The sequence below is a fragment of the Homo sapiens genome, chromosome 6, assembly GCF_000001405.40.
Source record: "Homo sapiens chromosome 6, GRCh38.p14 Primary Assembly".
NCBI classification, from domain to species: Eukaryota; Metazoa; Chordata; class Mammalia; order Primates; family Hominidae; genus Homo; species Homo sapiens.
The window spans coordinates 1,860,076-1,875,022 of NC_000006.12; the positions used below are offsets into that span (position 1 = coordinate 1,860,076).

General features: G+C 39.0%; 1 protein-coding gene across 7 annotated transcripts in view, besides 2 other annotated features; it reads right to left on the reverse strand.

Moving 5' to 3' along the window:
* Positions 1 to 14,947, reverse strand: part of GMDS (GDP-mannose 4,6-dehydratase) — a 621,800-nt gene that overhangs the window by 236,270 nt on the left and 370,583 nt on the right. The window lies entirely within an intron of this gene.
* Positions 13,492 to 13,993: an enhancer, noted in NCBI's record as "H3K4me1 hESC enhancer chr6:1873801-1874302 (GRCh37/hg19 assembly coordinates)". NCBI's record gives its function as "activates a minimal SCP1, AML or CMV promoter by ChIP-STARR-seq in naive H9 embryonic stem cells {active_cell/tissue: H9 hESC(naive)}" and the evidence as "EXISTENCE:reporter gene assay evidence [ECO:0000049][PMID:30033119]".
* Positions 13,994 to 14,494: an enhancer, noted in NCBI's record as "H3K4me1 hESC enhancer chr6:1874303-1874803 (GRCh37/hg19 assembly coordinates)". NCBI's record gives its function as "activates a minimal SCP1, AML or CMV promoter by ChIP-STARR-seq in naive H9 embryonic stem cells {active_cell/tissue: H9 hESC(naive)}" and the evidence as "EXISTENCE:reporter gene assay evidence [ECO:0000049][PMID:30033119]".

Here is a 14,947-nt window from a genome sequence, read left to right on the forward strand (position 1 = left end):
AACAAAACAAAACCCTATATAACAATGTTTAAAAGAGGAATACAAGAATTAAAAATTAACCATTGTATCTCAGACTTTAATTATATATAACTTAAAATGTTAAGAATACATATAAATGTGATATGTAATAAAAATCTTATAATGAAGTTCTATGATTTTGTTTCTGAAGTTAAAAAATAAGTTGATCTATACAATAGATTACCATTCAGCAATCAAAAAGGAATGGACTACTGATATACACAACATGGATAAATCTCAAATGCACATGTGAAGTAAAAGAAGACAGACTCCAAAAGTTACCCAGAGGATTATTCCATTTATATGATATCCTGGAAAAGGAAAAACATTAGGGCAGAAAACATTAGAGATTATAAGGTGGGGGCTGGGGAGAGAGAGGAGGAAGCCGACTCTGAAGATGCTCAGGGGAATTTTGTGCAAGATGGATTGTTCTATATCTTGATGATGGTGGTAGTTACAGGCCTATATGCAGTTTTTAAATCATAGAACTACATACTAATAACAGTACATTTAACTGTATATAAGTTACACCTCAATACACCTGCCTAAATGGCTGATATTCTCCACCAATATATGTCTGGTGTCCAAAAAAAGGACGAGAAGAGTCTTCTCACATTGTCAACCGTGAAGAAGAGAACGGCTGGTCCACAGGTTTGGGTTGTAGGAACTTGATGGGGAAGGCAAAATCCAAGGGTACTTTAAGAAGATTAAATAAGCTAAGAAGTTCTCCAACTTGCTGAGTTACATGGCAGGCACACACTGATGGGAAGGAGAGAGGAACCTAGGCAGGTCTGTGTTTGTGATGTGTGCCCAGAAGGGCTGGTGCCTTCTCTAGTCTTGCTCCACTAACTGCACCAGTCAGCAGCACACTCTCACTCACATGCCCTTGGCCCAGACTCCACTGTTAGGGCAATGAAATATCACGCTTCTCCATTCAAGAACAGAGTTACCGAAACAAGATCTGTCTGTCTTTACTCTGCCTTCCAGTTAGTGCACTGTTAAACTACTAAGTAAGATGTCTGCTTCTGAGCCAGATCACTGGAGGAGAGTTTTAGAAATCACCTGGAGGGTGACGTGCACACAAGGGGAAAGCACCCTCAGTGAATGAAGGAGCAGGAAGCCGACTGACATCTCTAAAGTTCTGGGCTCAGTCCTGTGTTGAGTTAGTGTTCATTCTGGGAGGATACATGTGTATAAAATGGGAAGAGATGATGAAACATATTTAAACAAAACAAAAGAATGGTTTGCATAATGAACAAACAGGACTGAGAATCACACCGTCTAGAGGACCAGGAGGGGCCACTCCAGTGTGGTGCAGCTGGGGATGGTGAGGGGTTTAATTTTACCACACAGCCTGGGTTAGGCATCTTGGAAACTACATTTTTGATCAGGAGAGGCTGTTCCAGTGGGAATACCAGCCCACAGGGTTGGATTGCTCACACTAACCAGGCTGAGCAGATTCCTCTAATTTCGGGGCATGAAGCAGAAATGTCAGTGGCTAGAGGGCATCACTGCTCTTTCTCCCAAAAAAAAAAAAAAGAAAAAAAAATGCGAAAAGGCAGGAGGTATCCCATAGGTTACAGGGAAATGGGCTAATTGGCTAGAGTGATCTGGTCTCCTATCAGCCTCCTGACCTGGTGTCGTGGCCTCTTCTGTGGAGAAGCCAACATAAGAGAATGGGAAGAAATGCACTTTAGTCCCCAGTCACAGGTGAGTCTAGGGTTTTATAAACACATTTTGTCTTTTCGGACTTCACCTCTGAAAAAGTGAGTAGATAGCAAAGTCTACATAAAATAAAATACATTTTATCTGTTGCACTGAAAATTATGATTGTTAAAATCTGAACTGAAAGCAGGTATTCTTGAATATATTTAGGAAAAGAGAACAACGGAATTACCCAAACTTTTAAATAATAAAAAAGCTTCACAGAGAACATTCACTTCAACCACTTTCCCAACCATCTAAGTTTCATTACACTTTAAATCTTTGAGTACTTAACTGGGATTTACAGACAATAACTAGAACAGGAAGGGAGTTGATGATGAGGAAAGAGCAGATACTTACTTCTGCACTGGGACTTCGCATTCTTCATAAACCAGACCAATAAAATAACGTTGTTTGATGACTTAAGCTCATTTATTTATTTTTGTGGCAGTGGGTGATCCATCAGTATTGAAATAGAAATAAAAATTATTTTGTTTAATATTTTAAACTAAAATAATGGTTCTCCCTTTACATCAATACACCTTGAACAAGAGGTATCAGGAAAAGACAAAGGATCCTGCTGGCACAGCTTCGAATCCGGGGGGACATCACTGAAATGTATTAGCAACACACACCACTGCTTTACTCAATGCTAGGTGCAGCTTATCAAGCTATCAAAGAGAATCTGCTGAATATACCAAGTGTGTCTCAGAAAAAATTCTTTGTATTAGCTAGAACAAGGTTAACAAACATTATAACTGTTCATAAAAGGATTCTGTGATTAATATATTTCCACAACTTGCTGGAGCTTGTACTGATTAGTCTTTGCCAAAGAACCTTTCCCAGCTGCATTCAGCAATATCCTGGAATGACAACTCTGTCAAATTAACTTGAAAACATCTAACGTTTTATTCACATAGTTCCCTGGGTAAAAAAATTCCATACTTCTTATTATGTTGTGCCGGTGATCTACATTCTTCTTTAGAATAAAATAATGGGGATAACATAAGATTTATTGGAGGAGAGCTATAGTTTTTATGCATATAATGTCTATAACACTTATGAGTAAGTCTTTCAAGCAACATTGTCTCTTCCAAATATAAAACATACAACTTATACAAAACACTGAGAAAACATCCCAAAAATTGGATAAGTTAAATACTAAAGGTATAGATAATTCATTATGAGTAATAACTGTTAAAGGCTAAACTAGCCACATTATTCTACTTTTTAACATGTAAAATGTTTGCATTTTTATCCTGCAGAAAAAAGAAGCTTTTTTAGTAACTCTGATTTTAAACATTAAATTCAAAGGTTTCTGATTGTTATCTGTTGCATCGATGGTTTTTATTACCTGTGTGGCTGTAAGGGGCTAGGGGGATCTTAATGAACTGGCCCTATCAATTAGCTCTTAGGAGGTGTTAAAATCACCCATAACCATTAGTTTCTTTCACATGTTTAGGAAAACCCACCATAGGAAAAATTCTCGCAAGTAAAAAAGAAAATGTTTTTACGATTTCACTTCAGAGGGTATATTTTTCCTTATTTAAGTACATATTTGTGTTTAAGAAGGGTGGGAGTGGAAACAGCACCCACAAACGTTTGGCTGTAAAACTCTAAGGTATTATGTAATGTGTCCACATATTAATTCTTTATATAGCACTTATAAACACAGAAAAATATTGTGTGTGTGCGTGCATGTGTGTGTGTGTTCCAATATAAGTGGGGAAGGGGACATTCAGTATCTCTCAATTTACATGGAGTACCCACATAGCTTTTTGTGAATAAAAGAGCAGTAATTTAAAAATTCTGACACGTCCCACAAGCTTCTTTTAAGTCTTACAAATGAAAATTCTTCTTTAAATTAAAGATTTAGACAGGTTTACAAGGTTGCCTGAGATCACACCGGAACATCATAATATATGTGTCTGAAGAGTATAGTAGTTTGATAATCTATAAATCACTTTATCATTATTGCAAAGCCAATAAAAGCCAAACATCTCACATACATGTACATTTCTTCACATTTCTGCATTTTAGCAAATCACAAATTACCAAACTTTAAAGTTTTCAGGTTTATCTCAAAATAAAAATAAAAGTTTAATATATATTTTCTAATGTGTCATTTAAAAAAAGCATTAATCAATTTCAAACAAATTAGCCAATAAACCAGCAAAAAAGTGTGGCCATTTTCAATTGATACAATTAATTTCTCTAAGAGGGGTGGGTCATAACGTTTCATTTATTTAAGTTTTGTCACTTTTTGCAAAAATAAATTAACTTTCTAGTTTATCATCAGTTCAAAAAACAATCCCAAGGAGATAAAACATTATAAATATCAAGAATTATTTCTCTAAACTTTTCTCATTATTTATTAGCATTACTACATAAAATGATACTTAATCTTTTATAGCAGAGATTTGGGAAGCTATTGTTAACTTCTGTGTTAGAAAAAAGATAATTTCAATATTACATATTTTTACATAATGCAGCTCTTAACAGCATTTTTCAAAACAGAAGTGTAAACTTAAAGAACCATGACAAAGGAAAAATGAATTAATAAAACAGCCCTCCATTCTTACCTTCAAACATTAAAATTATTGAGCTATTTATTTTCACAATAAATAAAAAATGTTAACTAGAGATTTATATGATCAGACTACTAGTCAAAACTATGAAGCAAGGGCCACTCTATGATGACATGAATTTTTCTTTTTCTGCAGTGGATGCTAGAATATAACCAGGGAGGAAAGCAAACCCATGATCCCCATTTCTGGTCTTGGTTCATTTAGTAGTGTTGACTAAATGTGGCAAAGGCAGATTTGCTGGTGATGAACTCAGGATAAAATGGGAAAAATGTGAACCTTGACCTTTTTAACACCACTTAAAAATCAGAACCAGACCTGTCAGTGCACCGCCTCACTGCCTATCGCCTAACAAATTGGAAACCTGATCTCCCCTCCTCTGAGTAGAAAGTAGGCTTGTCAGGCTAAGCTGAGCAGCAAACACCCGACAAGGCTGAGCTGAGCAGCAAACTCCCCAAAGCAGAGAAAGACCCCAAGTGTAAAGTCAAACTTCATATGATACCTTGAGTTTACAACAGTGTAAGATGTTAAAAATAGTTTTGAACATTGTTTCCTTTGCCTTGTTTTCATATTTCATTTGCAAAACATAGTACAGAAGATAGAGTTTTTGACCAAACAAGAAAGGATGTTTACATTTTTATTGCCGGAGCTTAGAAACGCCATCATCTGTGCTCCCCAACTCCATGCTCCCATCTCTCTCTCTTCAGGGATTATCATTTTAGATTGACCAAAATATCCTAACTTCATCAGTCAGCACTTACCACAGACATAAACTGCTTTCTGTAAGAAATATTCCTCAATTAAGTTTTCTTGAGAACTTTATCCTCTTCATTTTGTCCTTAATTATAGAACCTTGTATTTCCTATTTCTCTTTCATTTCTCCAACCTAGCAGATTTGTAATAGCAGAAAAATTACTACTAGGAATATTACAACTACTTGGTGTCAAGTCTAGTACAGAATTGAGTTTGTGTATTTCAAGGAAGAACAGAGACTGCTGAAAATATCTGTTGTCTTCTATTTCTACTTTATTTTAAACTGGAAAACCTGGTACTAGGCAAAAATGAGGTGAAATTTTATAACAAATTAAGCTAGAGTGATAAAATCCATGAAGGAAGAAGAGAAGCAGATTAAATGACATTTAAAAATATCCAAGCCTTCATTTGATTAACTTTAATCTAATTATAAAAAGTTGCTGCTCACTTCCCTACCAAACAAGGAGACCTCAGAATGCTTAGGTTAAAAAAGAAAAAAAGAACGAAAGGAAAAAAGATGTTAGAGAAGCAAAAATAACGCTGAATTAAAGCACTTGGAGGCCAATGGCTTTGAACCTGGGCTCCACCAGTCATTCCACCCAGCGAAGCGGTCTGCAGAGGCTTGGGCTCCTGTTAACAGAGCCCTCATTGTTTCCAAAGGCAGTTAGAAAAATGCTGCTTTATATCTCCTCACACCACAGGCTCCGTGCACAGCCCCAAGAAAAGGCGGCTGAGGGCGTACAATCCACAGGAAGAAAAAAAAATGCATGGCTATATATACAGCCCCCAGCCCCACACCCTACCAACACAGAAAAACACTACCCCAAACTCAATTCCTGGCTGGCAAACTGTGGTAAAGGATGTTATGGTGGTGCATAATTTACAACTGGAAATTTCTGATTCATGTGGGATTTGGGGCATTTCTTTGCCCTTTACCCACCACCTCTCCGTTTCCACCTCAAGCACAGGGAGGTGAAAGCTGTCAGGCAGTGGGGCTGATGCCATCAGGCAGCAAGGAGATAAACACTGCATTTTTGAGAGTGCAGTTATTCCACACCTGTTTAAAATGTTTATATAGTAATTAAAGATTAATGCTTATTCCAGACCAGATAAATATTAGACAGTGCATGTGTGTATATACATATATGAATCTGCAATGCTGCAGAGAACAAAGATTTTATTGTATCAAGCGTACTTAGCGAAGGGTATACATTTTAAAAAGGCCTGAGCTTCACGAAGTTTACATTACAGAGGGGAAAAAAGGCTTAAAAATGTTAAGTGGTTGGAGCTACTGAGTGCCATACAGAGAGCAGGTAGTTAGTAGTGAGTATGAGCTAATTCTGCTGCTAATCATTTGGTTTTCTATTTATTAAAGGGCAGGTCTCAGTTTACTCCTGAGCAGCAGCCAGTTCAATGGGCCACTCTGAATTGTTTCCCGAAGTTTAACAATTAAACCTGCTGAGACCAAGAAAAACAAAATAATTAACCTTTACAAATGTAGTAGTTACAATATAAAAGTTTTATTTTTAAAAAAGGTAATGCATGCACTGTGTTTGGTGAAGAGCTCTGGGCCACACTACAGCACCAACATCCCAGAAAAGAGCAGAAAGCCTGCTAGGTGAGCAGATGCTGCTGAACCTTGGGAGTACACTTGCCACACAGTGCCCCCCCGGGGTACCCCTAAATCCCTATGGTCAGCACATACAGCATGGACAGTATGCTTGCTCAAGTCCTGCTCAGGAAGGAGAATCATCTGACACACACCATGCTCACTGGATGATAACAACAATATATTCCTTGGTTTATAATTGACTGTTTTGTTAACTTTTAAATCGACAACAATTTTTAAAAAGTTAAAACAATCAGTGTTACATTTCAATTTATGTAAAAATTATGCTCCTGACAAATTACATGGATATATTTAGCTACATTTCCCAATTCACTGACAATAATTTACAGAGACTCATTGTATTCCACTCTGATGATATCAATTCTGGTGAAATCTTTAATAAATGCAAAAGTTACTTTGAACTCAAAAAAGTTGTAAATTGTGACCATTTTAAAAGTGAAAATGTTCACATACTGCATATTCTTATATGACATGCTAATAGGGTCAACTAAGGATTACTTTTAAAAGTAGTTAAATAAGTCTTTTTAAACATTTTCTAAAAAGAAATTATTTTCCTTTGTGAAATATTAACGAAAACATATTTTACTTATACTACTACAGGGCAATACAAACAATTAGGTGTGTGTTTAAAAAGGTAACGATCGGTAGGATGATGTCAGTCTGACAGATGTGATAGAGTGTGCAGGCAAATATAGACAGGAGCAATTTGTACAAATCTAGAATCCATTTATCTGGATTTTACAACATTGTAGACACAGACTACCAGAATGTTTTCATCCTAACACTCACCAGCTTACTGACACCTACCCAGCCAAAAGCTGGACCCCTGGACATTCCCTAAGCACTGAAGAAGGTCCTGTCACAGGGATCTCTAGAAACAAGTGGATAAATATCTTAGAGGATAGGGAGATATGAGAAAATTTCCCTCTATTAATTAGGTAATTGTAAATTATTCATAAGCATGACTAAGATGTTTAGTAAGTCAGTAAATCAAAAGAAAAGTCTCAGAAAACAAATCAGAATAAAAGTTAAAATTGAGAGGTAAAATGATAAAGAAAACACACATTGAGGAATACTGGTAATAGAAGGCAGGAGTTTTGGAGGTACAAGAAACACTCCTGTGTTATTTGTAGGTGTTCCTCGTGTCTGTGGATGGGTGCTTCCCCCAACAGATGATCCTAGGAAGGGAGGCTCCTAAATGCTGACTTTCCTTCTCAACAGCTGTTCTTTTTTTTTTTTTCCCTGGAGTCTCGCTCTGTCACCCAGGCTGGAGTGCAGTGGCACGATCTTGGCTCACTGCAACCTCTGCTTCCCGGGTTCAAGCTATTCTCCTGCTTCAGCCTCCTGAGTAGCTGGGACTACAGGCACCCGCCAGCACGCCTGGCTAATTTTTATATTTTTAGTAGAGATGGGGTTTTACCATATTGGCCAGGCTGGTCTCGAACTCCTGACCTTGTGACCTGCCTGCCTCGGCCTCCCAAAGTGCTGGGATTACAGGCGTGATCCACCGCACCCGGCCCTCAACAGCTGTTCTGTCATCATGTTTACCCACTATGTTTCTTCACCAGTCTATTCTAAGTGTCTAATCAGGTAACCTGGAACATATTTTCCTACATGGATGAAGTAAATATGGAGTAAATACATACATGGATGAACCAAGGAGGACCGCAGTGATCCCGGTTGAATGCATTTAGTTTCCCAGACCCTTCATCACAAGACTGCCTCACATTCAGGGAGCACAAGTGGATGGAAGGAAATCGAGAGCCATATTCTGCAGAGCACTGAGGTAGGCGTGTCTATATTTCTTACTTTATTTAATAATTTTTAGTATTCTTTAAGAATTTTACAGATGAAAAATTTTATCTCAAAGTCACCAAAGTGGCATAGTTGGGATTCATTCCTAAATCTCTGAACTCAAGTGTAGGGCTCGTCCCAGTATAATGTGCTGCAAAGGTTACAAGTAAATGCTTAGTGACTCCAGAATGTGCTGAATATGTTATGTATGGTTGTGAATTCAGAGGCTCAATATCCAGATCAAGTAGTTCTATAACTTAGAATCTTATAAGGCATTATTTGTACATTATTTGAAATCAGAAAATTATGAATATGTTTAAAATATTTATTTTAATGAATTACTCATAATTTGTATCTACTCTCCTTCTAAAAATGATTTAATATGTTCTTACAATGTGAACACGTACAAGTGAAATAATAAAGTGCAAAAGAAATATTAAAATAGGGATATGAAACCATCCGTGACAGTGGGGAAATGCCCCAGAGCTTTGCATAGCATGGTTAAAGCTTATGAGCACCATCTTGTCACTCTCTGAGAAGATGAGGCAACTGCAGCAGGAAAAGGCTCTACTGGGGGAGATAGCTCACGCTGCTTGTATAAAAGAAAAATACTAGTTCTTTAGGTAATGCTTTTCTCTGGCACTAGGTACATAAGGTCTCATACATGGATACTGATGAACACAAGTGGGAAGGTTTTCAAAGTCGTAGATTGTTCCTTTCTTTGTTCCTATTTTTTTAATAGCGTTCCTAAATAAAAATCAAGGGCGTAAGTCACAGGCAGGCCACAATGAGAGGAGGAGGTGATCCATCTGTGGCCCAGGTATGTTTCTCTATGGTGATCTAATTTGAGGCCGATTGAGGGTTTAGACAGCAAAGAAGAGGGTGGCATGGGGTCATTCTTTCAACAGCAATTACTTCAGACTCACTTGTGGCAGGAGCTGAAGGGCTGTCAAGGTCTAGCTCCTGGTCAATGTCTGGTATTCAGGTATTTGGAACTGTTGATCTGCATAAGAACCACAGCCTTCAGATATTCAGGCAGTTTCTGACAATGGTTAGAAATAATGAAAAACCTGCGACCATTTTACTTCTGCTTCTCAGCAAGGGAGGAAAGTAAGTAGCAAAAACACAGGCAGAAAGAAACTTTTACTGTTAAAAAATAAAAAAGAAATCGGCACAGAACCCAGTGTTTGGGACCACAGTGCGGAAAAGGAACATTTAGTGGATGGCGTCCCCTTCACACTCTGTGGAGGACCCACTGATCCCTGGCTCTTCCTCCTGGATGTGCTACTGTTACAAAAGCAGGGAGACTAATTTCTTGGCATATTTTTCCACACACTCTGGACAGGAGAGGGCAGCCAAACAGCCCTGCATGCCTGGAGGGGTCCTTCTGCCGCAGGGTGGGTACAGCTGAGACGGCTCAGACCACGACTGTCTGCTGTCCATTCTCCCCAAGTAGGCAGTGCCTGTTCTCTCACAGGTTGTGCCTGGGGCCTGCCTTCCTGGGCAGATAGGAAGACCATGCCAGGACAAGAGCCACACAGGGCTGGCGTCTGCCAGCACGGTGTCTCTGGCACTTGAGTTGAAGGCTTTAATTCAGTGGCCCTTTAATGTCATTTTCCTCTTTCTGTCCCTCCTTGCTCCTCAGTGCTGGATGACACCCCATGATCAATACGGCAGGTTTGTACAGAGAAGTGCACTTGGTGGTGACAGCTATGTCACTGGACACTGAGTAAGAAACTAGGAGATCCATTCTATGAGCTCTTCCAGAAGAGCTAAGGATGAGCACTTCATCCAGCTTGTACTTTCAGCAACGAAGATACGCCCAACCCTTAGAAGCATGATATATGCCTGTGCCAATCAAGCCACAATGTCAATCTTCCTCCCCCACCCCAGCCCCACAAACACCTACACACCCGCACACCAAGCACAGCTGCAAAACAGTCCGAGCCACATCACCAGAGAGGCTCTTTGCTTGTGATTTCGGATGCCTCAGACTGGCTGTGTGAGTACAGTCTCAGCACATTTTGTCTTTTAAGGGAAGGAGCTACTTAGTTCAGTGCTAGTTATCTTGAGATAAATATCTTTAAATATACTCTTCCTTATACGTACTCTTTTTAATAGAATAATTACTTTTGTTACGCCCAAGACACACCTATGAAGTTTAAGATGTCACTTAGAAATAATATCCAAAACAAATGCAAAACACACACTATTAAATTAAGCCATATTAAGAGAGTAAAGTTTTATTTCTTCAGAAGGCAGAAATGATACTTTTTTAAAACCAGCTAATTAACTTATGTGAACAAAAGTAAACACAAACAGGGCCCAGGGAACTAATAATGTCACCTGTTCCAAATGCCAGATAGGTGTCTGGGTCTGCTGCAGACATTTACTATTTTGCATATGAAACAAATCGAGGTTTGGGTGGCTTCCGCTAATTAGAGAGAAATGCCTCTCCTTTCCAAACTGCATCCACCCATCCATATCACTATCCCCCAGCACACACACACACACACACACACACACACTTAAACCACTGTCTAATTACTCTGAACATCCACAAGGAGAGTTAACGAGTACCAAGGGTTAAAAGGGGCTGGCCAGAAAGGGGAGGGGAGAACAAGCTGGGGGACCCTCCAGCTGGGACCTGTTTGTGACTTCTCGGCCTCACTGTTTGAGACGTTCTGGCATTTTTATTGCCTGTTGTCTCAGTGATAATGTGCAAGCATAGAGATATATTAAAAACCTACGTAAATACGTTTAAGGAAAGAAAAAGAGTAGGTCATTAAATAGTGAAAGAACATTAATTTTGAAATGACGTCTACAGAGAATGTAATATTTTAATTTTAAAAATTGCTGTAAAAATATGAGTTAAGGCCATTATTATTTCAATTGAGTACTTCAGGGAACACAATCAAATAAATAACAATAAATGATGTTCCCTGACATGAGGAGTTGAAAGCAACCTTTGGTAAACTGGAATTTTTCTATCCTTCTTTGTTACAGAAATTACTTTTTTTCATGAAATAATAAAAGGGTTCATCTACCAATTTTATAATAGAAAAACGTAATGATCCTTGTTTTAAACATACTTGATACTTGTTCCATGCTAAATACGACAAAATTCTGTCCTAAGCTGCTGTTGTGAATAGTAAGGAAAGCCAATTATGATGTATTCTTGTAAGGATTTTTTAAAAACAGTTACAAACGGCTCAATTATTTTCCTGTTACTCACATAATAATACTTTCTACAAGAGCATAGTTCACATTAACAGCACGGCAAGTTACTTGCCTTCTTTTCTTTTCTCTTTTGTGAATGAGGACGAAGATACTGCTATCAAAGCCAGCCAGCCCAGATGTGCTGGCACTATCCTCTTTCTGTGAGACGCTGTGAGCACCTACAGTCAACAGATTATTTATTAGGCAAGAGAAGCACTTAATTCTAACTTCTGGCTAGCAAAGCATCCTCCTTTCCCTATTACTGGACAATTACTTTCTCAGATCCCCTCTTTCAAATTAATCTTTCCCTCATCCATGGTCCTCTCTATCCCAGTTGTCACCCTCCCTGTCTTCTGGCAGTAGACAACAATGCCCTTGGCACAGCCCACAGCACAAACACTGGCCGGAATGCAGTGCTGAGCGTAGCTGGGCCGAGCACATCCACCGGGCTGGCTAGCAGGGATTGCTTGTTTTCACAAAGGGAACAGATAATATTTTAACTGTAATAATTCAGTCTATATGAACTAGAATAATTCAGTACTTATAATTTCTATTCTTTTGCCTATGACTTGCATGATGTCTGATGTATGTGCCCAATAGCCAAGAAAAATGATAGTTATGCTTTATGGAAAGGTTGAAGAACTGAACACATTTGTTAGTAACTAGACTCCTTTTAGCATTTTTTCCCCAATCGCTCTGTCAGAACTAACTCTTTTTGCAGGGATATGATAGTCCTATGGATAAAATAGCCCACATTTGCCAGCTACTTGTGACAACGTCCAAAAGGGGTACAATATATCACTGAAACAGCCCACAAACTGGCTAGTCACATTATTTATTACGAGCCACACATGTGACAAATTATTTAACTCAGTTGATCCTAATAAGTCAAAGAGCAAGCAATTAGCTAACTCGGTCAGAGGGCTGTTTGTGGCAATTTATAGATGCGCTCAAGCTGTCCCAGCACTTCAAAGCCCCATTAAGGGGAAACCTTTTAATGACTCACTTGAGATGACAAGTATTACACAGCACATATGGCAGTCAGGAATTTGGCAGCCTATTCTGTTACACTCTGCCCGCCCCCAGCCCCCGACAGCTGTTTACAAGTTTTCAGTCTCTGCGCCTTGCTGTTGTAAGCAGCCACAGGGCTGCAGGAGCAGGAGGCATGGTATTTTCTAGAGCAACAAGTGGCAGTAGATTCCTGTATCACACAGGTTTCTGGGAACCGCTGAAATCCCCACTCTTTCGTCAGTCTGCGTGAACTGTTTCACAGGAAAGATAGAGACACCTAGACAGTGAGGGACAGCCCAGGTGGCATTCGGCAAGTCGCCCAGTTCTTTAAAGGCAACGTGAAGCTATTATAATAAAAACTTATCTCCCTACAGGGCTGTTGGTAGAATTAACGAACTAAATGTTAGCAAAATGCTTTGAAGAGAAAAGGGTTATCTATACCAGTCCTAAAGATTATGATTATGCATTGCAACATTGCTGCCTGTCAGACGGTGTTTGCATTTGACCTCCTCCCACCGCTTCTCCTTCAGAAAATTTTCACTTGGGCTGGATCCACATCCACATCCTTAATTCCATCGCCAACCATCCTGCCCCACCTTTGGAAGAAGAGTGCAATGCCACAACTAAACTGTGCAATAAGGGAATGGAATTTTGAGCAACAGCTTCCCAGAAGGATGCCTATATTGGGGCCACTTTTTCCCTGGAAACAGGGCACACAACAAGCTTAGACACTGAGAAATGAAATGCCAGCTGACATACTTGGTAATTTTATTATTGTCCACAATATTCAGGCAGCACTGAAGAAACTAGCACTAAGACTGAAGGACTGAAAAAGACAGGAAAATGAAGATTTTGCTATGTAAAAAGCTGAGACCCAAATACCATATCAGTGCACTAAATTTTTAAGCAGTAAAGATCCTCTTTATCTGTGATTTCAAGTACTTCAGTAACGCCAGCTTGGTGAAAGACAAGCTTAATCAAGAGGAGAAGCTGGTGACAGCAGGAAAACACAACACCCTACCCTGTTTGGATGGGGCCACAATTTCCTAAGAAAAGACAAGTGCCAACCTCTACCAAAGCACCAGAAACCCACCACAACTCATCAAATCCTCTTATACCACACACTCGCTTTATTCACATGAAACAATCAATCGATTGTGCCTTTGTGTTCCCCAAAGGCCACAGCTGTATTAGGGCCGTGGTGTAATTACAGCTTGCAGGAGGCAGACGGACCAGTGGGAGGAAGGGTGACCACTGCCTCGAACAGGGCACCGGCCTCCAGAGACGACCTGCTTGGAGGCGTGCCACCCCACGGGGACTGCACGGCCACTTGGCCTCCGGTGCTAGGAGTCACTCTGTTCTTGACTTCACTTTTAGTTTTTCACTGTGGCTTGATGGAGTTTCAAGTTTGTTATTTTGATTATATAGAAAAGTTTAATGAAAGAAATGTTAGGCTGGTAGAAAGAAATGTGAAAATCAACAGATAGTATAGAAAAAACGGTGGAGAAGTGAACATTTAAGTTGTGGTTTACACTTTCCATTTTTCCTCCCTAATACTCCTTAGTAAAAAGAGAGTTGGTCCCCTTATACTCAAGTACTATCAAAATCCCATGTATTATGGGGCAATTTCTCAATTATATTATTTTGAAGAACTAAGTACTACGTTGGAGTGGTGGAGAGAGAGGACATGATAGTTTGAAATAACATTAATTAATCCTAGTTTCCATGCTTCAAGGGTCACACACGACAATCTCTTCAAAACAAGAGATAAAAATGTAGCTGTCGTTATCCTGAGTATGCTCTTATAAGAGTTATATGTCAGTAACCCTTTAAAAAAGCAATACATTAGGAAGCTAGGGGAAGCATGACAATATTTAATATACATGTGTATATATAAAATACGTATATATAATATACATCAGCACAAGTCCTCATATATGCGCTGAAGACTCATGGCTTGGGATGGACTTCCCTTTGGCAGCACTAGCAATGGATGTGAAAGCCCTGTGTGAAAATGTGCTCTAGAAAACAGATGACCAAAAAGTGTCTCGTAGTAATAAAGACACAGATGATGAGGATGTGTTAAAGGATACTGAATAAAATTGTTTTTCAAAATGCGAGAAGAAAAAACCCCAATGTTTGGAAATATTTTAATGTTATTTTACAAATGTATGCGTAGCTATTCAGTAAATTAAACATTTAAAGTCACTTGACTATTTTGTCCACATTCTTA